Source organism: Homo sapiens, chromosome 4 (genome assembly GCF_000001405.40).
Source record: "Homo sapiens chromosome 4, GRCh38.p14 Primary Assembly".
NCBI lineage: Eukaryota > Metazoa > Chordata > Mammalia > Primates > Hominidae > Homo > Homo sapiens.
In genome coordinates, this window is record NC_000004.12 from 159,097,860 (window position 1) to 159,124,037 (window position 26,178).

At 41.5% G+C, this 26,178-nt stretch overlaps 1 protein-coding gene across 2 annotated transcripts in view, besides 8 other annotated features; it reads left to right on the forward strand.

Annotated features, from left to right (window-relative positions):
* Window positions 4,370-5,061: an enhancer, noted in NCBI's record as "H3K27ac hESC enhancer chr4:160023381-160024072 (GRCh37/hg19 assembly coordinates)". NCBI's record gives its function as "activates a minimal SCP1, AML or CMV promoter by ChIP-STARR-seq in naive H9 embryonic stem cells {active_cell/tissue: H9 hESC(naive)}" and the evidence as "EXISTENCE:reporter gene assay evidence [ECO:0000049][PMID:30033119]".
* Window positions 4,370-5,249: a biological region, named in NCBI's record as "H3K27ac hESC enhancer GRCh37_chr4:160023381-160024072".
* Window positions 4,710-5,249: a silencer, noted in NCBI's record as "silent region_15774". NCBI's record gives its function as "represses an Ori minimal core promoter by ATAC-STARR-seq in GM12878 lymphoblastoid cells {active_cell/tissue: GM12878}" and the evidence as "EXISTENCE:reporter gene assay evidence [ECO:0000049][PMID:35858748]".
* The window catches only part of RAPGEF2 (Rap guanine nucleotide exchange factor 2), a 257,095-nt gene continuing 236,136 nt past the window's right edge, over window positions 5,220-26,178 (forward strand). For both annotated transcript variants that reach the window (NM_001351724.5, NM_001394067.2), the window contains exon 1: window positions 5,220-6,372. In NM_001351724.5, coding sequence (NP_001338653.1) covers window positions 6,304-6,372 — 69 coding nt within the window. In that variant the 5' untranslated portion in view covers window positions 5,220-6,303. The remainder of the gene's footprint in view (window positions 6,373-26,178) is intronic.
* Window positions 5,380-5,599: a silencer, noted in NCBI's record as "silent region_15775". NCBI's record gives its function as "represses an Ori minimal core promoter by ATAC-STARR-seq in GM12878 lymphoblastoid cells {active_cell/tissue: GM12878}" and the evidence as "EXISTENCE:reporter gene assay evidence [ECO:0000049][PMID:35858748]".
* Window positions 5,640-5,929: a silencer, noted in NCBI's record as "silent region_15776". NCBI's record gives its function as "represses an Ori minimal core promoter by ATAC-STARR-seq in GM12878 lymphoblastoid cells {active_cell/tissue: GM12878}" and the evidence as "EXISTENCE:reporter gene assay evidence [ECO:0000049][PMID:35858748]".
* Window positions 5,640-5,972: a biological region, named in NCBI's record as "Sharpr-MPRA regulatory region 13777".
* Window positions 5,678-5,972: a silencer, noted in NCBI's record as "tiled region #13777; HepG2 Repressive non-DNase unmatched - State 1:Tss". NCBI's record gives its function as "represses a minimal TATA promoter and a strong SV40 promoter by Sharpr-MPRA in HepG2 cells {active_cell/tissue: HepG2}" and the evidence as "EXISTENCE:reporter gene assay evidence [ECO:0000049][PMID:27701403]".
* Window positions 5,940-6,359: a silencer, noted in NCBI's record as "silent region_15777". NCBI's record gives its function as "represses an Ori minimal core promoter by ATAC-STARR-seq in GM12878 lymphoblastoid cells {active_cell/tissue: GM12878}" and the evidence as "EXISTENCE:reporter gene assay evidence [ECO:0000049][PMID:35858748]".

Here is a 26,178-nt window from a genome sequence, read left to right on the forward strand (position 1 = left end):
CACAATATTTCCTAGTGGAGTGTGCTCACTGAGAATGACACAATGTGTAAACAACACCCTTCCACCCTCCTGAGATTCTTACTGACTTGACTACAAGGGTAAAAGTAATTGCAAACCAACGCTTAAAAAAATGTTTCTAGGGAAAGGGGAGTGGTGTGAGGAATGTCTTTAACAGAATCCAACTTCTCTCAGCTGGAAATCTTGCCTTGAGAGGGTTGTAACCACTGGAGAAAGCAGTAAGGAGAGGAAGCTCTTAGCAGAGGAGGGCAGTTTCCTGGATCCTTTCTATTATCCTTACCCTCCTTATAGGAGAGGTGAGTAAATTAAACCAATGCTTGGCACATGGAACAAGCTCCCAGGAGGCCAGGGAAGGAGCCATATTTGTCTTATTCATTACTGGTATTCCAGGCATGGAGATCAGTACCTGGCACACAGCAAAGCACACAATAAATATTTATTGATGGAGCAGTAAGGGCTTGACGTGTTTTTAAAACAAAATGACTATGTATGTAAAATCTCCCTAATCTTGGGTATAGCTGGACTCACGGGAATTTAAAACAAATATTTTAATTCACTTTTAAAGATGACCCTAAATGCCTAACCCACACGATATATTTAGGGATCTATTAGATTTTACAGTTGGAAAGATCAAAGCTTTTTAAGTTACAAGTAGAATGGTATTAAGGCCAGAACTTGAAAAGTATTTCTGAACTTAAAACCCAGTGCTCTGTCTCTCTTCCCATCCCCCAGTGATTTTCTAGATAATATGATGGTAGTAGAAACAGAACAAAGAAACTCTCATTTTTACACTTGCCTTTATGAGGCAGCATAATAGATAGCTTACTTTGATTATGGTTTGCTGACACAGTTTGGTTTAGACTAATTGGCAGAGTGGCAGATCTTTGTCTAATTCTGTCTTCCAGGTTGTGCCTAGCACATTACTGGTGCTCAAATGTTAATAAAACAGCAATGCATGCCAAGTATCTGATGTCCTAGATGCTGAGTGGTGATATGCATTATTGACATATGTAGATAAGTAGGTTATACATAGTGTGAAAATTAGCTTTAATTGAAGTTAAATGATAGCTTAGAAGTTGACAGTGAGTTAGTCATTTTGTTGGTGGATAAGACATACTATTATGTCTTACCTGAGGTGATTGATGTAATTCAGTGTTACAGTAGAGCACACAGAGAAAAAAGACTTGGGTGTGCAACTGGAATTCCTAACTCTTGCTGTGAGATCTGGCAGAGAGGCATTCCTGTCTGGTGTAGAAGGTCCCCTCTAGCATCCCCCCTCCCCATGGGGCAAGGAGTTCCATACTCTCTGAGCACCTGGAACCCTGGTCCTGACTGCCTTGCCACTTCCAGACCTCATCTTCCAAGGCTGGCCCCTGGCCCGAGGAATCACCAAGGGGTGGCTTTTTTGAGGGGTGTGATATCACTTAGATGTGTAGGCTGGGTTGTCCTTGTCCTTTTTTTTTTTTTTTTGAGATGGAGTCTCACTCTGTCACCCAGGCTGGAGTGCAGTGGCTTGATCTCAGCTAACTGCAAGCAACCTCCACCTCCCAGGTAAAAGCAAATTTTCTGCCTCAGCCTCCTGAATAACTGGGACTATAGGCACACGCCACCACGCCAGGCTAATTCTTGTATTTTTAGTGGAGACAGGGTTTCACCATATTGGTCAGGCTGGTCTGGAACTCCTGACCTCGCGATCTGCCCACCTCGGCCTCCCAAAGTACTGGAATTAGTACAGGCATGAGCCACCGCACTAGCTGGGTTGTCCTCTTATGTGTGAGCCTTTCCATGGGATAGGATGAAGCTGAGATGGAAAGAAAAGGGGATTCCAGTTGCAGACCAGATACCAGTACTCCCTGCAGTAGTACTCAGTACTCCCCCAGTTAATTTGTAGCTTTTAGTATTTATGATAGAGTATATGGATCCCCATTTGTTAGCTGGCTCCAGAACTTTCTAAAGTTAAAGGCAGTCCGGGAACTAGGACAAGTCATGTAGCCTATTTTAGTGTCAGTTCTTCATCTGTAAATAAGATAACACTGTCCCACTAGCCTCAGAGAGTTGCAATGATGAGAATAATCTTAAATATAACTACCATTTATTGAGTATATACTGTTGTTAAACCACTATGCAAGGCACTTTGCATGTATTATCTTGGATCGTCACAAATCTTCAGGGTATGCAACTTTTTCTTTTTTTGTGACAGGGTCTTGCTCTGTTACCCAGGCTGGAGTGCCATGGTGTGATCATAGCTCACTGCAACCTTGAACTCCGGGGCTCAAGATAACCTCCCACCTCAGCCTCCTGAGTAGCTAGGACTGCAAGTGCACCCCACCATGCCCCGCTCCTTTTTTTTTTTTAAGTTTTTGTGCAGCCAGTGGTCTTGCTATGTTGACCAGGCTGGTCTTGAACTCCTGGCCTCAAGCTATCCTCCTGGTTCAGCCTCCCAAAGTGCTGGGATTACAGGTGTAAGCCACTTTGCCTGGCCAGACTATTCAATTTGTACTCTCTTTTTATAAAACAGAAAACAGGCTCAGAGAGGTTAAGTTTCCTCTCCCAGTTTTCTCCCCGCAACCAGGGACACAAGTGAGATAATGTATGTAAAAATCTCATACAAATACAAGGTAACATGAACTACTTCATGTATCCATTTAATACCTATTTGTTGGCTGCCTGTCTTGTGTTGAGGATATAGCAGTAAATAAAAGGGACAAACATCCCTGACTTAGAAGCTTACATTACAGTGGAGGGATAAAACAATAAATAAAATAAATAAGTATAGATGGTTCTCAATTTACGATGGTCAATAAATTGACTTTCGATTTTTCCACTTTATAATGGGTTTATCAGGGTATTAAATGCATTTCTGACTTACAATATTTGCGACTTACAATGGTTTCTCAGGATGTAACCCCATCCTAAGTGGGCAAGCACCTGTACAATATACAGTATGTTAGGTGGTAAGTAAAGCGACGAAGATAACCAGAGTGTATGGAGTTACAGGGAAGGTGACATTCAAATGAAGATATGATGACAATGAGGAACAACATTCTATATTTTGGTTGTTGTGTGTGTGCATTTTTCTTTTTGTTTTTTGTTTTTGTGGGTGCAAGTGGGGTGGGGAGAGGGGGAGAGATAATCCAGGCAGTAGAGGGAACAGCAGATGGAAAGGTCATGAGACTGGAATTTGCTGTTTCAGAAACAACATGGAGGCTAATGTGCTTGGGAACAGAATAGTAGAAGAGGTCAGAGAGATAAAGGTCCATAGGATATTCAGGCCATGGTAAGACTTTGGCTTTTACCTTGAGTGGTATGAGGAGCTAAGCAGAGGAATGATTTGAGAAGGAGTGAAAAGAATTCACACTTTGGCTGCTGTGTTGGAAATGAACTGTATGGCAAGCAAGGTTAGAAAGAGGGGGACCAGGTGGGTGGTTATGACAAAGTGCTGGCCAGACATGATGCTGGATTGCACCAGGGTCATGGCAGTAGAAGTGGTAGATAAAGGTTAGAGTTCAGATATGGCATTCTGGAGGTTGAGCTGACGATTTTTACTGACACTTTTGAGGTATAACAGAAAGAAAGGAGTCAAGGAAGTCAACGTTTTCACCCAGGAAGTGAGAATGGTGTAGATGTGATTAACAGAGGATGGGGAAGGCTGTGGGTGTCTGAGACAGGAGATCTGGAGCCTGGTTTGCACATGTGAATTCTGAGATGTCTATTAGACACCAGGTGGAGATGTCAGTTATATTTTTTCACTTCATTGGGTTTGAATTCTTTTATCTGCCTCTCTCCTTTTTTCAGAGCTGTATTGGCACTTATTCATGTTCCTTTGCTTTCAAGGTAGTGGCCTATGTCATAGAGAATTTGATGTTGGCGCTCAACTAAGAGGTGAAAGAGAAATATAGAGAAGCAGTTCCAGCAAGAGTAATATAAAAAGGTCTACAGATACAATTTGTAACTCAGATTCCCTTTCACAAGGTTGGGCAGGGACAGTCCCTTTGCTAGGAAGTCACACAAGCTGTTTAGTGCACACAGGTGACTTAAGGAACCCCAAAATGTTAGCTGACAATCTATTCCAAGTGTTTAAACTAGATGTTGAAAATCATGTTTGAAAAGTTCAACGCAGTAGCTCATACATAAAACTCATTGTGTCTATAGATATCAAAATAAGAACTTGTGGGGGGTGGGGGCAAACAAAAATAAATCCCTGGGACCAGAACAGCAGAGTGGTCCCCGATGCTTGGGCTGACCTTAACACACCTCTACGTGGCCGGGGCAAGGAGTGGGGGGGAGCTGAGGGAATCAGCAGGAGCGGTGACATCTTGAAGGACGAGGTATTGTTTCTGCACCATGTGGGTCCGGTTTGGAAATTTGAGCATCTAGAGGAGGAGGCTTGTTCTGTCCAAGGCAAAGCCAGACCTACCAATAAATGTTTCTGATTATGTCACAGAACTTGCCATCCTGGTCTGTCGCTAAGGAGTGATCAACTTTAAATCTGGAGTGTTTGTTGGTCTAGGGGTGGTAGTGGGTCTGGTGTTGAAACCTCTCTGCCTAATTTCGTGGTCATTTTACTGTCTGAGGTGCCAGAGTGGGCTTGGAAAGCAGGGGAGGGTGCAGCAAATTACAAATAAGCAAAATAAATCCTAAGAGGATTTATCGCCACAGAAGCAACTCGGACGCAACTCTTGGGCTCAAAAAGAATGCCCAGTACAGCCCGGGCTGGTGGGCCGGTCTTTTGCCCAAGGTTAGCTTTCAGCCCCTGGGCGGCGGCGTGGCGCCAGGAGCGGGCGGGGAGCAGCGACCCGACGCGGCTGGGTCTCCTAGTAGGGCGCGTCGGGTGTGGGGAGGGGGCGCGGCGTGAGACAGTGGGGGACACTGCGTGAGGAAAGCCCTGCGCTTCTCTCCGGGGCACCAGGACTTGCGCCCCCTCTTCGGGTCCAGGCCGCGCGCGGGACCCGACAGCCCGGCCGAGGGCTCCGCGACCCACTTGCGGCCAGAGCGCTGCTCACCTGGGCGCCGCCGAAGGTGCCGCTCAGACGCGAGGGCGCGGCCGCTGGCGGGCGGGGAGCGGGGAGGCGGGACCCGGCGCGACGGGGCTGCCCCGCCCCCCGATGATGCGGCGGCCGCCGACTCGCCCCCACGCTGTCACTCATTCCTCACCATGGTTGCAGCACAAAGCAACAAGCCCCAGAGGCCGCTTCCTCCCTGAGGAGCGGCTCCGGCGGCCGGAGAAGGCGCAGGAGGAGGAAGAGGCGGAGGAAGAGGAGGGGAATCGCCGCTTCCCAAACACTCTCTCCGAGGGGGCTGTGCGCGGCTCTCGGCTTTCGGCCCTCGGACGCCCGCGCCGGGAGTCCGAACCCGGGCTGTCCGCGGCCCCCTCTTCCCCCTCCTCCGCCCCGCGCAGACGAGGAACAAAGTTGCCGAGAGCGACTGGGCCGGAGGGCTGCAGCCCGGGCCGGGTGCTCTGGCCGCGGCGGCGCCGGCGCCGGGGCAGCTCCGCTCCGGGCGCGCTGATGGGGGGAGGCGGCGGCGGCGGAGCCCACAGCGGCGGCCCGAGCAGCAGAGGCGGCGGCGGCGGCGGCTGGGCGGCCCGAGGGGATGCAGCAGCAGTCGGGAGGGACGGCCGAGCCCAGTAGACAGAGACCAGGAGCGGCGGCCGAGGCGATCGGGCTTCGCAGCGCCCGGACCTGAGCCAGACCCACCTGGTCCGTCCTCCCGACCGGCGGCCGAGGCGCCCGAGGACTGGGGACGCGGAAGATCCAAGTGATTCTCGGAGACCCCTGGGCGGCGGCTGCGCAAGCCCCTGAGAGGAGGGGGCGACCCTCAGCGCCGTGGGGGAGGAGGCTCCGCCTGCCCACAGCCCTCCCCACTGCCACTCGTACCTCCCTAAAAATAACTCGGGCCCGCTGGGGCCAGGAGGAGCCGCCACTGTCCCCCGAGTGGAGCCGGGGAGGCGTGTCGAGCCAGGGCCGGAGGAAGCCGGCGGAGCGGCGAGGAAGAGGAGGAGGAGGAGGAAGGGGAGTTCCGCCTGCGGGCCGCATCGCACGGCAGCCTAGGGGCGCCGCGACCCTCCCGGCTGCGTCCAGCCCCTCGCGCCTGTACCGCGCTCTCGGCCGCCGGGCCCAGCCGAGCCGCCCCCCCGCGGGCCCCGCGCCGCCGCCGCCGCGGTTTGGCTGATTAGTCGCGGGCGGGCGGGCGGGCGCAGCGCGCAGGGCGGAGGCAGCAGCGGCGCTGGGCCGGGAGGAGGCCGGCCAGGGTGCGGAGCGGCCCCGGCCCGCTCCCAGAGGGGAGATGGCGTCCTACGTAGATAACAGCTTCCGCCAGGCGGTGATGAAGAATCCCCCCGAAAGGACCCCCCAGGTGAGAACGCGGCGGCCGCCTGCCCTTGGCCGGATTTCTGCCTCGCAGGCTGCGTCTTCCCCTGTCCCCCCACCTCCTTCCTGACACAGTTCGCCCCGAGCACCCCACTTCTTGCATCAGGACCCCCAACTTCCAAAGGCATCCCACCTCCGAGTCTTTTACTCCGCCTATCCTGGTTTTATTTTTCCCTCTCCTTGACATTCTGCTCCTTAACTCTTCCCTCCCCATGACTGACCTTTCCCACTATGTTGCCCAGCCGAGAGAGAGAGAGAGAGAGAGAGAGAGAGAGAGAGAGGGAGAGACAGAGAGAGAGAGAGAGAGAGTGTGTGTGTGTGTGTGTATGTGTGTGAATGTGTGAATTCTCTAGCTTTCCCTCTCCCCAGCCGCCCTCCGTGGCCTCTGAATCTCAGGGGATGGAGTCTCATCTCCCCTCGGGCAGCGACTCTTGCTCCCTCTGACTCCAGATCCGTTCCTCCCCTTGCAAGTGACCCTTGGAGTTCAGTGGTGTTTGAAAGGTATAGGAGGAAACCTGTACGGTTGTGCTAAAGACAAATCCATGCTGACCTTCAGTAAAACATTGAGGTGTTTGTATGTTTACTGTTTTGCTTTTATTTTTTAAAGGATACTGCTTTCAATTGAAGGGAAAAAAAGTTGAATAGCTAAGTTAGTGCTTTTAGTTTAAATTGCAGACATAGCTGCAGAGCAGGCATGTTCCAGTACACCCTCGGGAAGGGCACCCTGCGGATTCTTTTGGTGTTGCACAACCTTGTCAAAATTAGATAAGTTTGTTAACCTTTATACATTTGTTTACCTGCAGGCTTACTCTTCTCTTACTTATAGCGGCTGATAGGGTTGGATTTGGTTGTCTCAAGTTTTACTGGAGAGGGGGAAATTTTATAAAAATGTGGTAGCTTAATTTTCTCCGCCTTTAGTTGCTGACTGGATAATGACGCATATTCCTAAGCGTTGGGATGGTGACTATAGGAGATCCTGCCTGCCAACCCTCTTAAGACAAATAAGCCCTCCTGATCCTTGGGACCATCAGACATTTAGGATCTAATGCTTGAAAGTGTTGCTTCGCTTGTTAGATGTTGGATGCCATCTGTTCAAATCCAAATGCTCTCCTTCTCTGATGTTGATTATTATTTACTGTGGGGAGAGCATAATAAAATAGACTCTTCCCCTGGCTGCCTTTGGACAAGCCCCAAGAGTGGCACCTGGTACCGTTTTTGATTTTTCATTTTCCTTGATGGAGCTGTCACATCTGGGAGATCATGGATAGATTGCACATATTTATCAAACGTGTGGAAGATGGCTGTAATTTTACAAGAAAATTTATCTGTCTCCAGAAAGTTCCCATTCTAAAAGACTATTTTTATCCCAACAAGGAATGTCCTGCATTGATCTTGTTCTTCTCTTGGTGTTGCACACGCTGCCTTTCCTATGCCTTTCTCATCTATTTGTTTTAAAATGGTCAGTTGGATCAGTCTTCTGCATCTGAAAATGCACATTCCCTGTCTCAGTGTGAAGGAAAAGCAGATTTCAGTGAGATATTTCATTTCCTTTCAAGAATATTGTTTTAAGTGCCAAGTGAAATTACGCATGCTGAGAATATTAGAACCTAGCAAGGCTGGTCAGAAAATGATGTCAGAGGCCTTTGGTGGAAATTAGAGAAGGGGGAAGTGGTGCATTTGGTTGATTAGTTAGAAGAATAACAATGACTAAAACCTACTATCAGGTTGGGGGGCGGGTCACCAAACAAGACTAGAAGAGACAAAACCTCCACTGTGACTGTGGGCCCACTGTGCCAAATAAATGAACTGTTAAACTTTCCTGTTCCCCTGCCAGTTGTGTAGAATAGAGTAAAAACTGACCCAACACAGAACTTGGCCTGGGCCAGCTACTACTAACCCACGACATGAAAGCTTTATTGACAGTCGGAAGGCAGCCCATTTGCCCTACCAAACCTTCATAGAAAAAGTAAACATAAGGAAACCTACCAAACATTTCAAACATTCCTAAGTGTCAGCCCTATTAACTTTGATGTTCGTTTGGTTATTACTACAAATCCCCACGTTTATTTCTTTTCAAGAGAAAGTTGTTCGAAATGTGAACGTTTTCCATCTTTACCTGACTGGCCAGGAGTAATCTTATAAAAATTTGAAATTTACTCAAAAATTATAAAAAAAAAAGTTTTTGTAGAAGGTACTTTTTATGTTAAGAATGCTTTGTTAATGGAACGCTGGAAGATTTTCCATACAGCCTTGTCTTATAAATGTTTGTGAGTTCGAATTTTATAATATTAGAAAAGCAACCATGTTAAATAAGCTTGATATCATGAACAGAAGGACAGGAATTAGGAAAGTTTTGCTGTTTTGCTTCCTTCTGTTTCTGAGGATAGACTCGATAAAGGAGTTTGCATGATTCTCGTTATAGGCAAAAGGAAAAGAATTGGGGAACATATGTAATTTTTTTTCCTGCTGTTCATTTCTGTTTGTTTTTTAAAGGCTTGCTGGCCTCATTCATTTCCCAAGCTCCGTGAAAACATAGTTTTGTATTTAGGTCAATCAATTGCCTAGAAGTAATCCTGATGTCATTGGTGTAACCTAAGAAGTTGGCTAGAAGAGAATCTAGGGGTGGGAAGAGTACCAGGAACTTTCATAAATTGGGAGCTTTTCATGTCCACCTGCACAATGGAAACGCATTTCAGTTATATCTTTAGAGAGGGGGAATAGTAAGGAGAAATACCAAAAAAATTATCATCTAAGTTTTAGCCAGGTTATACATACTCAGTTTCAAGAGACTATCACTATTTCACCTGATATTGTGAGAGGAGGAGGAAAACTCTAATCCAATGTGTGTCCCATATTGTGTGTCTGGAAACCTGGCTGAGTTCTAGTCAATGGGGCATTGTATTCTAAATAACAAACTTCCTTGAAAATAATGAGCCCTGAAAACATTCTACTGATATTTTTCAGTGCACCTCTGTTGAAAAACAGGACTCTTAAGTAATTGCTTTATTTAACCATTTGGGTTTATGTCTTTAATCACTTAAATGAGAAGCTTGGTCACCAAGGCAATTTGGTGAAGTAAAAGATGTAAATAAATTACAAACAGCTTTTATCCCCCAAGGCTTATACAATAAAATGGTTTTTCTAAACCATTTTGTTAACTTGTTGAGTTCAGGCCCTTTGAAATTGCTTCTGTAGAGTGTCTAAATGCATACCATTTTCAGTTTTTCAGGTGAAACATCTATTGCAAAACTGTTTCTTCTCTTTAAAGACCTAATGTAATGCATTTTTAGCTAGTTGTAAAAGTTACTGTTAAAAATGTTATGTGTAAAATAACCCCCACCCCATCTCCTCCTATTTAATAATCTTACTTTTTTTTGGGCTATTACAACTTTTGATATAAGTACTAACTCATTGATGTGTTATAAAGAATACAGGACTTAATTCATTGCTAAGTACTTGGTAGAATTCATCGTGAGTCATAATGAGAGGGCTGAAAAAAGTAACTTTAGCTCAGAGAACTGTAAATTATGAGAAACGGCATGAAAGAATATCTCTGACAAATATTTAACTTTCAAATCTAATGGAAGAATTGTGTCTGTTATAGTTAAATTTTCCATTTGAGTTTCTTTTTACCATTGCTTATAAGCAGACTCATATTTGTCAGCTTATACTCTCATTATATTTTAGCCCATTTTGGGGCTCTAGTAATATTTGTTTCTTAAATAGTTTTTGTTCATAGAATACAACTAAACTATCTGTATGCCATTTAAAAAGCATGTCTCATAAAGAAATGATTGGCCACAAGCAGTTAGATTTCATAACAATGACATTTGAATTTCTTGGTACAGAAATACATTTATAACTGAAATATTAGCTTCAAACTCTATTGGTATGTGACTTTGAACAAATGAGGAATTAAATTTATGATAAAAATATTAACATTCCTTGCAATATTGATAGAACCTTAGTCGCCTTCAAATAACCCTTTAAACATTTAGTAATTAACAGTTCCATAATTAGCTTTGCATATCTTGGCTAAGGTTCAAAATGAAAATCTCTCCAACTGCAGTGCTTTATGCAGATACTCGTTTAATGCAGTCGCAGTCATTCCCAAATGCTGGAATTTCACAGAACTTTCTTTTTTTTTTTTTTTTTTTTTTTAAGGAGAAGATGACCACCTTGGTTTTTCTCTCAAGAAGGAACATAAAATAAAAACAAAACTAGTTATAACTTCTTATCACTATCATTTAATCTCACTGTTTTTAAGAAAGGAAGGATGCAGTGTTATTCTAAAGCTCAGTTTTGAAAGAAAATATTGTTTGCGTCATAAGAAAATTCACTGCATTTTTTCATTTAAATTTTACTTTGGACCTGAAAAAAACTTATTTGGGTAGATTTTGGATGATTTAAAGAATCACAATAAGGTCTTTCTTTGGTGATATTTGATGAGATGGGGTGCTTTCAGGATGGTATGGCGATAGACAATGTTTGGTAAGAGAGCGAGATATATATATTTGGAATAGGGTCTTGCTTTGTTGCCCGGGCTCACTGCAGCCTCTATCTCCCAGACTCAAATGATCCTCCTGCGTCAGCCTCGAGTAACTGGGTCTACAGGCTTATGTCACTGTGCCTGGCTAATTTAAAAAATTTTTTGTAGAGATGAGGGTCTCGCTTTGTTGCCTAGACTGGTCATGAAGTCCTGGGCAGAAGTGATCCTCCTGCTTCAGCCTCCCAAAGTGCTGGGATTACAGGTGTGAACCACTGCACCTGGTCCATTGGTGATAATTTGAAATTCAAGTTGCATAAAATTATAATGGGATGCGCCTCAGATATAAATGGACTATCCGAAATAATGATATGATAACCTTCTAGAAATAAAAACTCTGATTTTGCTTGATTCATATGAAAACTTAATGAGAAAAAAAGTATTCCTTCTTTGTAAATTTTATATGGAAGTAACTTTGGCCAGGAGTGGTGACACATACCTGTAATCCCAGCACTTTGGGAGGCTGAGGTGGGAGGATCTCTTGAAGCCCAGGTGTTCAAGACCAGCCTGGGCATCATAGCAAGGCCCCGTTTCTATTTAAAAGAAAGGTAAATTTGATTTAGACTTAGGAGATATGGAAACCACTGAAAATCGTTGGTCCTTGATAATCCGTATTTTATGGGGTATTCCTTCTCTTCACTCCATTTTTGGTAACAATTTCCTCGTCGGTAAAATGGATAATAGCTGTCTGAGGTTTTGTGGATTAAGTGAAAGTACATTATTTAGTGTAATGCCTAATGTTAGTCCTCTTTATAGCATATTTTATACAATTTCTATTATTTAACAGGCCTTGGGAATTCAAAGATGAAATGTGTGTCCCTCAAGTAACTCACTAATCTATTGTTATAAGTAGATTGTAATTCATGAGTGCTGTAACAGCTATCCTATGACAGCACTGAAGAGGATGTGGACTTCCTAGATGAATATGTATTGAGTTGTAGGGGAGTAAGAATTCACCTACCAGTGAACTAGTGGACCTGAAGTGGTATTCCAGATTGACCTACTGTCATATGAGTAGCACACCTGGTAAGACAACATGTGCAGCTCTTTGTTCAGTGTGCTGGGAACCAGGGGACTGAGGAGGGGGTAAGGAATGATTACTGGCATTTAGAAGCTCATGGTTTGTGAGGGTAGTGAGGAGACCAAGAGTTCTGTTAAAGACTGATGTTCATTTTCCTGGCTTGAGATGGCTGGGAAGCTGAATTACACAGTGGTGATGGATTAGAAATATTGCAGGAGTAGAATCTGCTGGACAGGCTGGCTGAATGTGTGCACGTTTTATATCTCATTATAGTAAAACTGTGTTTGAATCATACCAGTGCAGCCTAATTATGGCACAGGATGATCATGGATATTTCATAGTTCATAGGAAAAAATCCAAGTTGTTGAATATAGTTTTCTTGATTTTTAAGGTTTCTCACACTATTTTTTTCCCTTAAACATTAATGTCTTCTACTACATGTACATTCTGGGAATCTAGTTTGAAATATCTGGTTAATCATATAGTTAAACTAGGCCAGGTGCTGTGGCTCATGCCTCTAATCCTAGCACTTTAGGAGGCTGAGGCGGGTGGATCACTTGAGGTCAGGAGTTCAACACCAGCCTGGCCAACATAGTGAAACCCTATCTCTACTAAAAATACAAAAAATTAGCCAGGTGCCTGTATTCCCAGCTACTCGGGGAGACTGAGACAGGAGAATCACTTGAACCCTGGAGGCAGAGGTTGCAGTGAGCCGAGATTGTGCCATTGCACTCCAGCCTGGGTAACAAGAGCGAAACCCCATCTCAAAAAAACAAAACCCAAAACACCATCATGTAGTTGTACTAAATATATTTCTTAATCTGTAATGATAATGTGATTTCCAAGCATTTCATCATTTGGAAGAGTTGGAGAACTTCTGAATTTAAGCAGGCAAAAATGAACTTATTTATATAAAAACTCAAAATTGACTTGTGACGACACAATGTAATGATGGCATTGAGTCTTTGAGAACAGTTTTTTACTCCTTTATACCATTTTTTGTTTAGATAAATTAATTGATGTTGGTAAATTAGGAGAAGCAATCTGTAGTACATATAATTGATCTTGTAACTTTATCAGAGCTAGAATATATATTTATGTATTTATATAGTTAAAACTATGTTCAAGTGATTATGTCAGTCATTGTAGGAAGAAAAATAAGTTTATTGCCGCATTATTTTGACTTCTAGAATTTTTATCTTTTCAGGAAAAAAAAAAACCACCCTTGTTTTCACATGCAAAATCGCCACTACCTACTGAATTTTAAGAAGCGTGTGTTTCTTGCTGTATTCAGCTGTTTCCTTTTTCCCTCCAGTCTGTGAAAGAATTTACCCTTGGTGCGGTGGTGGTGGGTTTATTGGTTTTTGTGGAGGAAACAACTTGGTCCTTGGATTTTAAGTTGTCCTGGCTCCACCTCTTCTGTGCTTTCATATCCATTATGTATAAGAAGTGTTTTGGGAGAGTTAGTGTCAGTGACTTGAAGAGGAACTTTGTTTTGTCATTGGAACTAAACTTGTCTTCCGCTGGCTGTTGTTTCTCATTGCTTGCCTTCCACAGGTTGAAAATAATGGACTGTGGAGCTTTAGAATTAAAATAAGTGAATAAAAATGTACATTTCGCTGCCATTTGCAGTTTAGTTGACAAACCGACACAGTGTAATATCTGCCCCTTGGCACCTTTCTGTTCTTCTCTAGCTCATGGTATTTGTTTTCACCCAACATAAAAACGGAGAAGAAAGGTAGAGAACACTGAACGAGAATTAATCATTAGGTCATTCTGGGGAGGTCTGATAGTAACTTTCTTAGAAGCCAACAATCAGTGGATCTGAGAGGTTTATGGTACTATGGTGATTATCTGATTTCTCCTGAAAATTCATTCTAGAGTTAAGACTCATTATCTTTTAAAATGTATTTTATTTTTTAATGACCAGTCTTCAGTGGAATCATTATCTTTCTTAAACTTTTTAGCTTAAGATAAATGTAGATTCACATACAATTGTAGGAAATAATGGGGAGAGATCCTGTGTGTACCCTTTAACCGGTTTCTCCCATTAGTAATAGCTTATAAAACTGTAGTGTAATATCACAATCAGGATATTGACATCAGTGCAATCAAGAAACAAAGCAATTCCAGCACCACAAATGGTTCTTGTTGGACTTTTATAGCCACAGTCACTCCCCCACCCCACCTCTGGGGATCACTAATCTGTTCCATTTCTATAACTTTGTCATTTCAAAAATGTTATTAATTGGAATCGTACAGTATATGGCCTTTGGAGATTGACTCCCCTCCCCCTGCGCAGCATCATTAAGGCTTATTACCTTTTGGTTAAAATGAATTTCTGTTGTTAGTGAATAGTTTGGCCTTGTGCTTCTAAAATACCAATAATGTCTGAGGATTGGGGGGTTGGTGGTAAAAGGTGAGATGGGTTTAATAGTGACAATGAAGAGAAAGTTCTGTGATAATGCGTATAAATATAGAGCAAAGAGCATAAGGTCTTGGATGAGCAAGAGTTGTGATAGCATACCACATTTGGGAGATTTTGATATATGTATTTCCTTTTCATATTTTTTTTTTGTCATAATGGAAGTAGTAAGGTTAGCCTTAGCCTTCATATTCTCCAACTGAAATTTAAAAAATAAAATCAGAAGGAAGTCTAATGACTGTATATACAAAAGGGAGTCCCAATGGCCAAATTTGGGACAGTTTGAGAAGCAAATCATGACAGTAACGGACTATAACCCCTAGGGAAGAAAGTATCCATGAGCCCATACTGATATAAGTAAGTAGTTGAATAAATAAATAAAAGCAGGAGAAGAGACACCTCTTTGTTATAGAATTCTAATTAGAAAATGAAGGAATGATGGAAATAGAAAATCACCAGCAGGTAAACACCATAGTAGCAATTGTTACAGGCAGGAATCATCAATGGATGCCAAAATTAGTGGGTGAAGGTATGATGAAAAATATCATCATAGATCAGTATCATCAGGATATTTGCATAGTCTCAAAATATCTCCCCCACAAAATTAATTAACTATAAAGGAAAAAATCAATACTTAATAGTGAAGAAAACTGGTAATATCAAATTAACCAGATCATCAAAGTTAATATCATTAGTAATAAGACATGTCAACATCATGTGTCTGCTGATATAATGTATTGAGAAAGAGATATCTCTGGTATTCTTAACTAAAAATCAACCTAAGTGGAGCAAATATCAGATAGACTCAAATTTAAGGACATTTTACAAAATAACTGGCCAGTATTCCCTGAAAGTATTGAGGGTGTGGAAGATGAAGAAATGCCCAAGAACTGCCACACATTGGAAGAAACTAAGGACATGTGATAACCAAATGTAATGTAGGATTCTGGAATTGATCCTGGACAAGAACAACAACAAAAAAACATTATTAGGATGACTGATGAAATTTGAATATTTAGATAACTTTACCACAATTATTGTAGATGCTAAATTACGGGAAGCTGGGTAAACAGGGGATCTTTGACCCGTTTTTTAAATAACCTTTTTTACTCTAAAATTATTTAAAAATTCAAAGTTAAAAAAAGGAAGCATAGCTTTTGAAGTTTTTTTTGTGAACCTGAAAAGGGGATACCAAATTATTACTTTTTAAGACATCTTTTAGGCTGGGCATGGTGGCTCACTCCTGTAATCCCTGCACTTTGGAAGACTGAGGCGGGTGGATCACCTGAAGTCGGGAATTCGAGTTGAGCCTGGCCAACATGGCGAAACCCCTTCTCTACTACATATACAAAAAATTAGCCAGGAGTGGTGGCGCATGCTTGTAATTCCAGCTACTTGGGAGGCTGAGGCAAGAGAATCACTTGAACCCAGGAGGTGGAGGTTGCAGTGAGCCGAGATTGCACCATTGCCCTCTAGCCTGGGTGACGGATGAGACTCTGTCTCAAAAAAAAAAAAAAAAAAAAAGTATCTTTTTTTCCAGTTTAATAATTTACTCTTAATGAAGAGCCTAGTACCTTTTAAGTGAATATTTTGTATGTATTGAACCACTAGTAAAATGGTTGAGGCAGTATATTTATTAGTTGGGGAAACTTGAAAGCACACACACACATAATAGCTAATAAATAAATGGATGAGAAGAGATAAAATAGTAACGTTTATTTTATTTTATTTATTTTTGCAACAGGATCTCACTGTGTCACCCAGGCTGGAGTGCAGTGACATGATCATGGCTCACTGCAGCCTCGTCCTGGGCTCAAGGATCCTCGCACCTTAGGCTCCTGAGTAGCTGGGACCGCAGGCATGCACCATCATACCTGGCTAATTTTTTTTTTTTTTTTTTCTTTGAGATGGAGAATGCAGTGGCACGATCTCAGCCATTCCCAGCAACCTCCGCCTGCTGGGTTCAAGTGATTCTCCTGCCTCAGCCTCCTAAGTAGCTGGGATTACAGGTGCACACCACCATGCCCAGCTAATTTTTGTATTTTTAGTAGAGACAGGGTTTCACCATGTTGGTCAGGCTGGTCTCGAACTCCTGACCTCGTGATCCGCCCACTGCAGCCTCCCAAAGTGCTGGGATTACAGGCGTGAGCCACTGCGCCCGGCCCTAATTTTTGCATTTTTTTAGATCTGTGTCTTGCTATTTAGCCCAGGCTGGTCTTGAACTCCTGGGCTCAAGCGATCTTCTCCTCTCGGCCTCCCAAAGTGCTGGGATTATAGGTGTGAGCCACCTTGCTTGGCCAGAATTTTAACAATTTATTCACCTTTATTCCTACCTGAATTTTGTTGATATTCCCAAGATGGAGTGTATTTTATCAGTGTTTAATGTTTCGTGATTCTGAATTTAAGTAGATCACAATATTTGTTATAAGAAAAATTGTAGGAAATAGAATATTCCATGTATGTTAAGCAAAATAGAAAAATTGTGGTAGTAGCTTAAGGAAGTCAATCCCAATGAAATTTAAATTGTAGATTCTCTCTTCCCCACTTTTTTCTTTCCTGTGACCTTAAAAATTCTTTAAATGGTTACTTTTGGTAGGAGTGAGGGGGTGGAAGGGGAGGGAAGGGAATGAATGGCAAGGGTGTGTTTAAAAAGTCTAGTCAGAGGCACTGTTACAGCTATGGATAATAGTGTTATCTAAGCTGAGTGTATTGAATACTTTCATCTAGATGTCTTAAAAGGACTTTAGTAGGATATAAAAAGAAAATAAAAAGGAATTTTAAAAATCAAATTAAGGCAAACAATCTCTACACATTTTCCCCCTTGTATCTATGCCTTTACATTTAGGTTATAAAGTCAGCCCCCCTCCCCAGTCCCACGGATTAGCCAACTATCTTTCCGTTTTTGATTTTTTGGTAGTGAGTACTGGAGAATGAATGCTGTTTTTAATATTATGTATTTTTTTCATAACTGAAATTGGCGTTAGAAGATTGGATTAAAAAACATGAGACCTAACATTTTAGATAATTGTAAATATAGTGTAAGCAGGAAGATATTTACTATTTTCAATAATAAAGACATAAATCACTTGTTTTCTGTATTTTAAGAAACTTTTGCTGGTATTTGATATTTTAAATAATAAGTTGCATTTGAGGGCACAAATGAAAAAGAAAAGAGCAGGCCAGGTTTTGAAGTAACTAATTGTATAAAATAAAATGAAAAATGTGTAAACATACAGGTGTGGACTAAACCTATTTGACATTCTTCCATGTATTCATATAGAAACTATTTGAATTCTGCAAAGCAATAAGTTTCTGATTTTTTTTTTTTCCTCTAAGCTACTTCATGCATTCTTACAAACTCCATTTCCTTTTAAACACAGTCAAATTTATTAGGGAATATTTGGTCAAATTGTTAAAAGTATTTCTCTGCTACCTGAGTTCAAACTATACTACAAGGCTACAGTAACCAAAACAGCATGGTACTGGTACAAAAACAGACACATAGACCAATGGAACAGAATAGTGATCTCAGAAATAAGACCACACACCTACAACCATCTGATCTTTGACAAACCTGACACAAAAACAAGCAATGGGGAGAGGATTCTCTATTTAATAAATGGTGCTGGGAAAACTGGCTAGCCATATGCAGAAAATTGAAACTGGGCACCTTCCTTACACCTCATACAAAAATTAACTCAAGATGGATTAAAGACTTAAATGTAAAACCCACAACTATAAAAACCCTAGAAGAAAATCTAGGCAATACCATTCAGGACATAGGCACGGGCAAAGATTTTATGATGAAAACGTCAAAAGCAATTGCAGCAAAAGCAACAATTGACAAATAGGATCTAATTAAACTAAAGAGCCTCTGCACAGCAAAAAAAACTATCATCAGAGTGAGCAGACAACCTATAGAATGGAGAAAATTTTTGCAATCTAGCCATCTGACAAAGGCCTAATATCCACAATCTACAAGGAACATAAACAAATTTAGAAGAAAAAAACAATCCCTTCAAAAAGTGGGCAAAGGACATGAACAGACAATTCTCAAAAGAAGACATTCATTGCAGCCAACAAACATGGAAAAAAAGCTCAACATCACTGATGATTAGAGAAATGCAAATCAAAACCACAGTGATATACCATCTCACGCCAGTCAGATGGCAGTTATTAAAAAGTCAGGAAACAACAGATGCTGGTGAGGCTGTGGAGAAATAGGAATGCATTTGTGGAAGTATTTTGTGGAAGACGGTGTGGTGATTCCTCAAAGACCTAGAACCAGAAATATCATTTGACCCAGCAATCCCATTACTGGGTATATACCCAAAGGAATATAAATAATTCTGTTATAAAGATACATGGAAGCATATGTTCATTGCAGCACTATTCACAATAGCAAAGACATGGAATCAATCCAAATGTCAATCGCTGATAGACTGGATAAAGAAAATGTGATACATGTACACCATGGAATACTCTGTAGGCTGTGAGATCATGTCCTTTGCAGGGAGATGGATGGAGCTGGAAGCCATTATCCTCAGTAAACTAACACAAGAACAGAAAACCAAACACTGCATGTTCTCACTTACAAGTGGGAAGCTGAACAATGAGAACACATGGACACTGGGGCCTGTCAGTGTTGGGGGAGGGAGAGCATCAGGAAAAACAGCTAATGCATGCTGGGCTTAATAACTAGGTGATGGTTTGATGGGTGCAGCAAACCACCATGGCACACTGTTACCTATAACAAGCCTGCACATTCTGCACATGTATCCTGGAACTTAAAAATAACAAAAGTATTTATCTAAGTTGTATCTTATAGTTATTGTATTGAAAAATGGCTTCATCAAATTTATACATTTCTAAATGACTAGAAATGAGTTTTAAAAACTTGTGAGTTTAAAAAACTTGAAACATAGTATCATAAAATGCCAAGAGTTGAAATAAGGAGGAATTTGATAGCATTTCAATGTTTCTAATCTTCATTCATATCTGATCCCCATCCTGTTTTTGTGTAGCTGTGAGAAATTGAAGAGCAAGCTTTAGGGCAAACATTTTCTGTGTATCTGTTGCTTGGATTTGGGATACCACAAGCTTCATTTAGAGTCAGTGTGCTTAGAGCCCCAAAAGTTCTTTATTCCCATATGTGGACCTCCTAACATAATCGTCATCTGAGACTTAAGTTGGAATGGGTGAGAATTCCTATCTTGATTCTATTTTCTCTGGTGTGGTTTAAATCTACATCCCATAGTTAGAGAAAACTCTGTGGGAGGCAACATGCTAAAATCATTTCATTTTAAAAGTCCTTGTTCCTACTTTATATATTCTGCGATGGTTGGGTTTTTTTTTTTTCGTAGTTACAAATTCATATCTTTAATTTTAATTGTATGCATAGAATACTTGTTTTGAGTTTAGTGTATTTCCTTCATATAACCCAGTGGTTTTAATCTTGGTCTCTGTTGTCAAACAAACTGCTTTGTGGCCTTGGGCAGGTTACTTCACCTTAGTTTCAGGCTTTTTGATTTCACAGGCTTAAAATTTCACAACACTGGGCATTGACATTTGTTCATCACCTATTTACTATACCAAGTAAGCATGTTTAATACAACATAAACTTGCTATCCACAAGCCTCATTTAAGAAAGGATATTTTACTGTCATAAAAATAGGAAGGTCATAGTTTCAGAATAAACAAATACAGCTTTGTTTTGCTATATTATGTTTTTTTTTTCAAGGATTGATGAAATTTTCACCATGGGTGGGTATTGTAATATTACCAATCTCCTATAATTGTGAAGATTAAATACATTAATGCAGGAGTACCCAACCCCTGGGCCACAGACTGGTAGCAGTCCATGGCCTGTTAGGAACCAGGCCATACAGCAGGAAGTGAGTGGTAGGTGAGAGAGTGAAGCTTCATCTTTGTTTACAGCCACTCCCCATCACTGGCGTTACTGCCTGAGCTCCGCCTCCTGTCAGATTAGCAGCAGCATTAGATTCTCATAGGAGCACAAACCCTATTGTGAACTGCATATGCAAGGGATCTAGGTTGTGTACTCCTCATGAGAATCTAATGCTTGATGATCTGTCACTGTTTCCCATCATCCCCTAGTTGCAGGAAAACAAGCTCAGGGCTCGTGCTGATTCTACATTACGGTGAGTTGTATAATTATTTCATTATATATTACAATGTAATACAGAAATGAAGTACACAATAAATGTAATATGCTTGAATCATCCTGCACCCCCCCGCCCAACCCTGTGGAAAAAGGTTGTCTTCCATGAAACTGGTCCCTGGTGCCAGAAGGGTTGGGGACCTCTGCATTAATGTATATTAAAGTATTATTATTATTTTTTTTTGAGACAAAGTTTTGCTCTTGTTGCCCAGGCTGGAGTGCAATGGTGCGATCTCAGCTCACCGCAACCTCCGCCTCCCGGGTTCAAGCGATTCTCCTGCCTCAGCCTCCCAAGTCGCTGGGATTACAGGCGCCCGCCTCCTTGCCTGCAAATTTTGGTATATGTAGTAGAGATGGGGTTTCACCATGTTGACCAGACTGGTCTTGGATTTCTGACCTCAGGTGATCCACCCACCTCGGCCTCCCAAAGTGCTGGTATTACAGGCATGAGCCACCGCGCCCGGCCCTATTAAAGTTCTTAACACAGTCTCTGGCATTGAAGATTTAATAAATATTTACTCTTCTTATTACTGTTTTTCAGTAGTTGATATTCATTACTCTTTTACTTTTTCCCATAGATTAACTTTTCATCGTTGGTTTAATGACTGATTCACTAAAGTGATTTTAATATGTTGATTTGATAGACTTGATTTATAGTACAGATTGTGTTAGGTTTGCAGGTTGCCAAGAACTGCAGATATAGGGGTTAACTCCAGGCTTATTTTTTTTATATACAAGAAAAATCTAAAGGTAGACAGTGCAGGGTTGGGTTGGTGCAGACGCTCAAGGATGTCATTTAAAGAAACTGGCTGAGTCTTCTATTTAGCAAGCAATGTTAGTCTTCAAAGCCACAAAATGGTAGTTGCCTCAATAATCAGGAAAGGAGAGGGGTGGGTGTTAAATCCTTTTCTTGGTGTTTTGTCTTTTTATTTTGAAGGAAAGCCCTCTCTAGATACTTATTGGCTAAGGCTGTGTCACATGGCTACTCTTGGCTGCAAAAGAGGCTGGAAATTTGAGTATTTTGCTTTTAAGCCTCGATAGTACAGAAAGATGAAGATTAATGGGTGCTGTGAGCTGATGTATTTCTCCAATTTACTTTGCATAGGAGATAGATGATTGTAATAAGCTTATGCAGTGATTCTCAGGAGACCTCTTTGAAAGTCTTATTGAATTATAGAGTTATATTACTGTAGCTACGGTTATGGAATGCAGGTATATTCAACTTCTTGGTTCGCTTATTAGGTGTATGATTATTAATTTTTTGAACCTCAGTCTCATTTACAAATAGGGATAAAAATACTAGTGGGTGAGCATTACGTGTAAATATTATAAAACACTGTCTGTAATGTAAATATTATCATTTCTATGGTAGATGAGTTCTAAACATCCCATCTATTGATTTAAGGATATTGGCATATGATATTTTCTAAATTGGTTCCTTTTGTTTCAGATTTACTCTATTTAAAAAATTCCAGAAATGTATTTCATTTTTTTGGGTGCTCCAATTGTATGTACTGATATGTCTACTTGTAGTAATACTTTGTCATTTTTTTAGGACTTCAGTGTTTCATTTGTCATCACTCCCCAAAGCTGAATCATCATTTCTTTTTTGTTTGTTTTTTTGAGTCAGAGTCTCTGTTGTCCAGACTGGAGTGCAGTGGTGCAGTCTCAGCTCACTTCAGCCTCTGCCTCCTGGGTTCAGGCAATTCTCGTGTCTCAGCCTCCTGAGTAGCTGGGATTACAGGTGTATGCCACCACACCTGGCTAATTTTTGTATTTTTAGTAGAGACAGGGTTTCGCCATGTTGGCCAGGCTGGTCTTGAACTCCTGGCCTCACGTGATCTACATGCCTTGGCCTCCCAAAGTTCTAGGATTACAGGCGTGAGCCATTGCACCCAGCCAAATCATCACTTCTTATAAGTATATATTTTTATGTAAAATATACATAAAAGCTAGTTAAATAGGTTTTTGCACTTTGTCGAATTTATACTTACATCATAACTTTATGTCTTTAAGAAAAATAGTTTCATATTGGTTGTTATACAAGATTAGCTTTGATACTAAAACTTCTAAGAATGCATTGTGTCCTATCTTAGGACATGATGTGTTACAGGCTTTTTCTGATAGCATTCAAGATTTATATACATAAACTGCTCTTAATGTTTTGTAGTGGGATCAGTTAAACAATTTCCTATCAGAAGCTAATGTCTAGAAATTTTACTGATAAGAGTCTAGCATTTATCATCTTTAAATAAGCTATGTTTCCATAAATTATTTCTTTTGGTGGGACTACAACATATGCCTGAATTTGCAGTCTAAGTTAGGACTCGGTTTTTCTTTAAAATTGATTAACTTGAACTATGTCTATCAGTCCCACTAAGCTAAGAGTTTATTGGGCTGAGACTTACTGTCCATCTTTTTTTTTTAATTTTTAAATTATTTTATTTTATTTTTGAGAGGGAGTCTTGCCCTGTTGCCCAGGCTATAGTGCAGTGGCGCAATCTTGGCTCACTGCAACCTCTGCCTCCTGGGTTCGAGCGATTCTCCATCCTCTGCCTCCCTACTAGCTGGGACTATCGGCACCCACCACCACGCCCAGCTAATTTTTGTATTTTTAGTAGAGACAGAGTTTCACCGTGTTGGCCAGGTTGATCTTGAACTCCATCTCAAGCTATCTGCCTGCCTTGGCCTCCTAAAGTGCTGGAATTACAGGCGTGAGCTTCTGCACCCGGCCGATCTTTGAAGCTCATGCTCAACCTTTTAGCACAGAATTGGAGCTGATAAATGTTTAATGACTTGATCTTGATTTCCTGAGAGTTTTAGACTTGGTGGTACAGGGAAAAATGTACAGTTGAACCTTGGAACAACATGGTTTTGAACTCTGTGGATCTACTCATACATGGACCTCTCCCCTCCCCTCCCCTCCCCTTCCTCTTCTTTTCTCTTTTTTCCTTTCCTTTCTGAGATAGGGTCTTCCTCTGTCTGTTGCCCAGGCTGGAGTACAGTGGTGTGATCACAGCTCATTGCAGCCTCAATCTCTTGGACTCAAGCTCTCCTCCCACCTCAGCCTCTGAATAGCTGGTACTACAGGTGTGTGCTACCATGCCTGTAGCTAATTTTTAATTTTTTTTGTGGAGATGGGATCTCACTGTGTTGTCCAGTCTGGTCTCAAACTGCTGGGCTCAAGCTGTGCTCCTGCCTTGGCCTCCCAAAGTGTTGGGATTATAAATGTTGGGATTTCAATAAATATATTAAAAAAATTTTTGGAGAATTGCCACAATTTGAAAAAACTTGCAAATGGGCTACATAGCCTAGAAATGTAGGTTATGGAGCCGGGCTCGGTGGCTCATGCCTGTAATCGCAGCACTTTGGGAGGCCGAGGCGGGCGGATCACAAGGTCAGGAGTTCGAGACCACCCTGGTTAACATGGTGAAACCCCATCTCTACTAAAAATACAAAAAAAAAAAAATTAGCCGGGCATAGGTGGTGCATGCCTGTACTCCCAGCTACTCGGGAGGCTGAGGCAGGAGAATGGCGTAAAACCCGGGAGGCAGAGGTTGCAGTGAGGTGAGATCGCACCACTGCACTCCAGCCTGGGAGACAGAGCAAGACTCCATCTCAAAAAAAAAAAAAAAAAAAAAAAATACAGGTTATGGAAAAATTATGAAATATTATGAAAAAGTAGGTATGTCATGAATGCACAAAATATATTTAGATAACTAGTCTATTTTATATATGACAATAAGATGTAAAGAAATCTATGATAAAATGTTAAAATTTGGCTGGGCGTGGTGGCTCACACCTGTAATCCCAGCACTTTGGGAAGCTGAGGCAGGCGGATCATGAGGTCAGGAGTTTGAGACCAGCCTGACCAACATGGTGAAACCCCATCTCCACTAAAAATACAAAAATTAGTAGGGCATGGTGGCGCACGCCTATAATCCTAGCTACTTAGGAGGCTGAGGCAGGAGAACTGCTTGAACTCAGGAGGCAGAGATTGCAGTGAGCCGAGACTGCACCACAGCACTCCAGCCTGGGCGACAGAGCAAGACTTTGTCTCAAAAAAAAAAAAAGTTAAAATTTATCAAAACTTATGGACCCTTACAGATTGTACATAGTTCCATCTGAAGTCTAGAGAAATGTAAACAAATCTAAAGATGCAGCATTAAATCATAACTGCATAAGATTATTGTGCATACGGTACTACTGTAATAATTTTGTAGCCACCTCCTGTTGCTTTCGTGTCATGAGTATGGTTACTCATCTCTCAATGAGGAGTTTGTCCATCAGTAAACTGCATATTGCAGTAAAAGTGATCTTTTGTGGATCTATATTTTTCATCTTTTTAGTGCAATACTGTAAACCTTGAATAATATTATGGGACCCATACAAAGTGCCACTGGTGATGCTGGAAGTGTTCCCAAGAAGCAAAGAAAATTCATGACATTATAAGAAAAAGTTGAATTGCTTGCTGTGTACTGTAGATTAAGATCTGCAACTGCAGTTACCCAAAATTTCAGATAGGCAGTTCATCTAGCAAAGGTTATTTTTATTATTTATTAAACAAATTTAAGATACTGATACAGTACTGTAAATGTATTTTCTCTTCCTTATGATTTTAATGACATTTTCCTTTCTTTAGCTTATTTGTTGTAAGAAAATAGTATACAATACAACATATGTGTTAATCGAGTGTTTATCAGTAAGGCTTCTGGTCAACAGTAGGCTATTAGTAGCTAAGTTTTTGGGAGTCAAAAGTTAATGCAGATTTTCAACTTTGTTAGGGGTTGGCGCCTCTAATATCCGAGTTGTTCATAGGTCAGAAGTTACCTACTTCATGGATTAAATTTACTCACTGAGTGTTAGCAAGATGGTTTTTGGCTTTTGTGATGGAACACTTAATTTGATATTTCTCTTTTGTTATGCTGAAAGTGTTAATTCCCTCATAGTTTGCATATATTCTATAAAAAGGATCTTGTTGCCTGCCTTGGTGGTTACAAAAATTTGTGTTTCACTGGCTTCTGGTTGGTTTACCAGCTTGTAAAAGTTATTCGTGCCAGGTTAAGTATTTTCTTTGAGTTTAAACTGTGTGTGTCTGTGGGTGGGATATGGATTTTTATCTTTTTTTTTTTTTTTTTGAGATGGAGTCTTGTTCTGTCGCCCAGGCTGGAGTGCAGTGGCTCGATCTCAGCTGGGTTCACGCCATTCTCCTACCTCAGCCTCCCGAGTAGCTGGGACTACAGGCGCCCACCACCGCGCCCGGCTAATTTTTTGTGTTTTTAGTAGAGACAGGGTTTCACCGTGTTAGCCAGGATGGTCTCGATCTCCTGACCTCGTGATCTACCTGCCTCGACCTCCCAAAGTGCTGGGATTACAGGTGTGAGCCACCTCGCCTGGCTGGATTTTTATCGTTTTACTTTTGTTGTTGTTATTGTTGTATTGTTTTGTTTTCTTCAGACATGGTTTCACTCTTCTTGCCCAGGCTGGAGTGCAGTGGCGTGTTCTCGTCTCACCGCAAACTCTGCCTCCCGGGTTCAAGCAATTCTTATGTCCCAGCCTCCCAGGTTGCTGGAATTACAGGCGCGTGCCACCACACCCGGCTAATTTTTGTATTTTTAG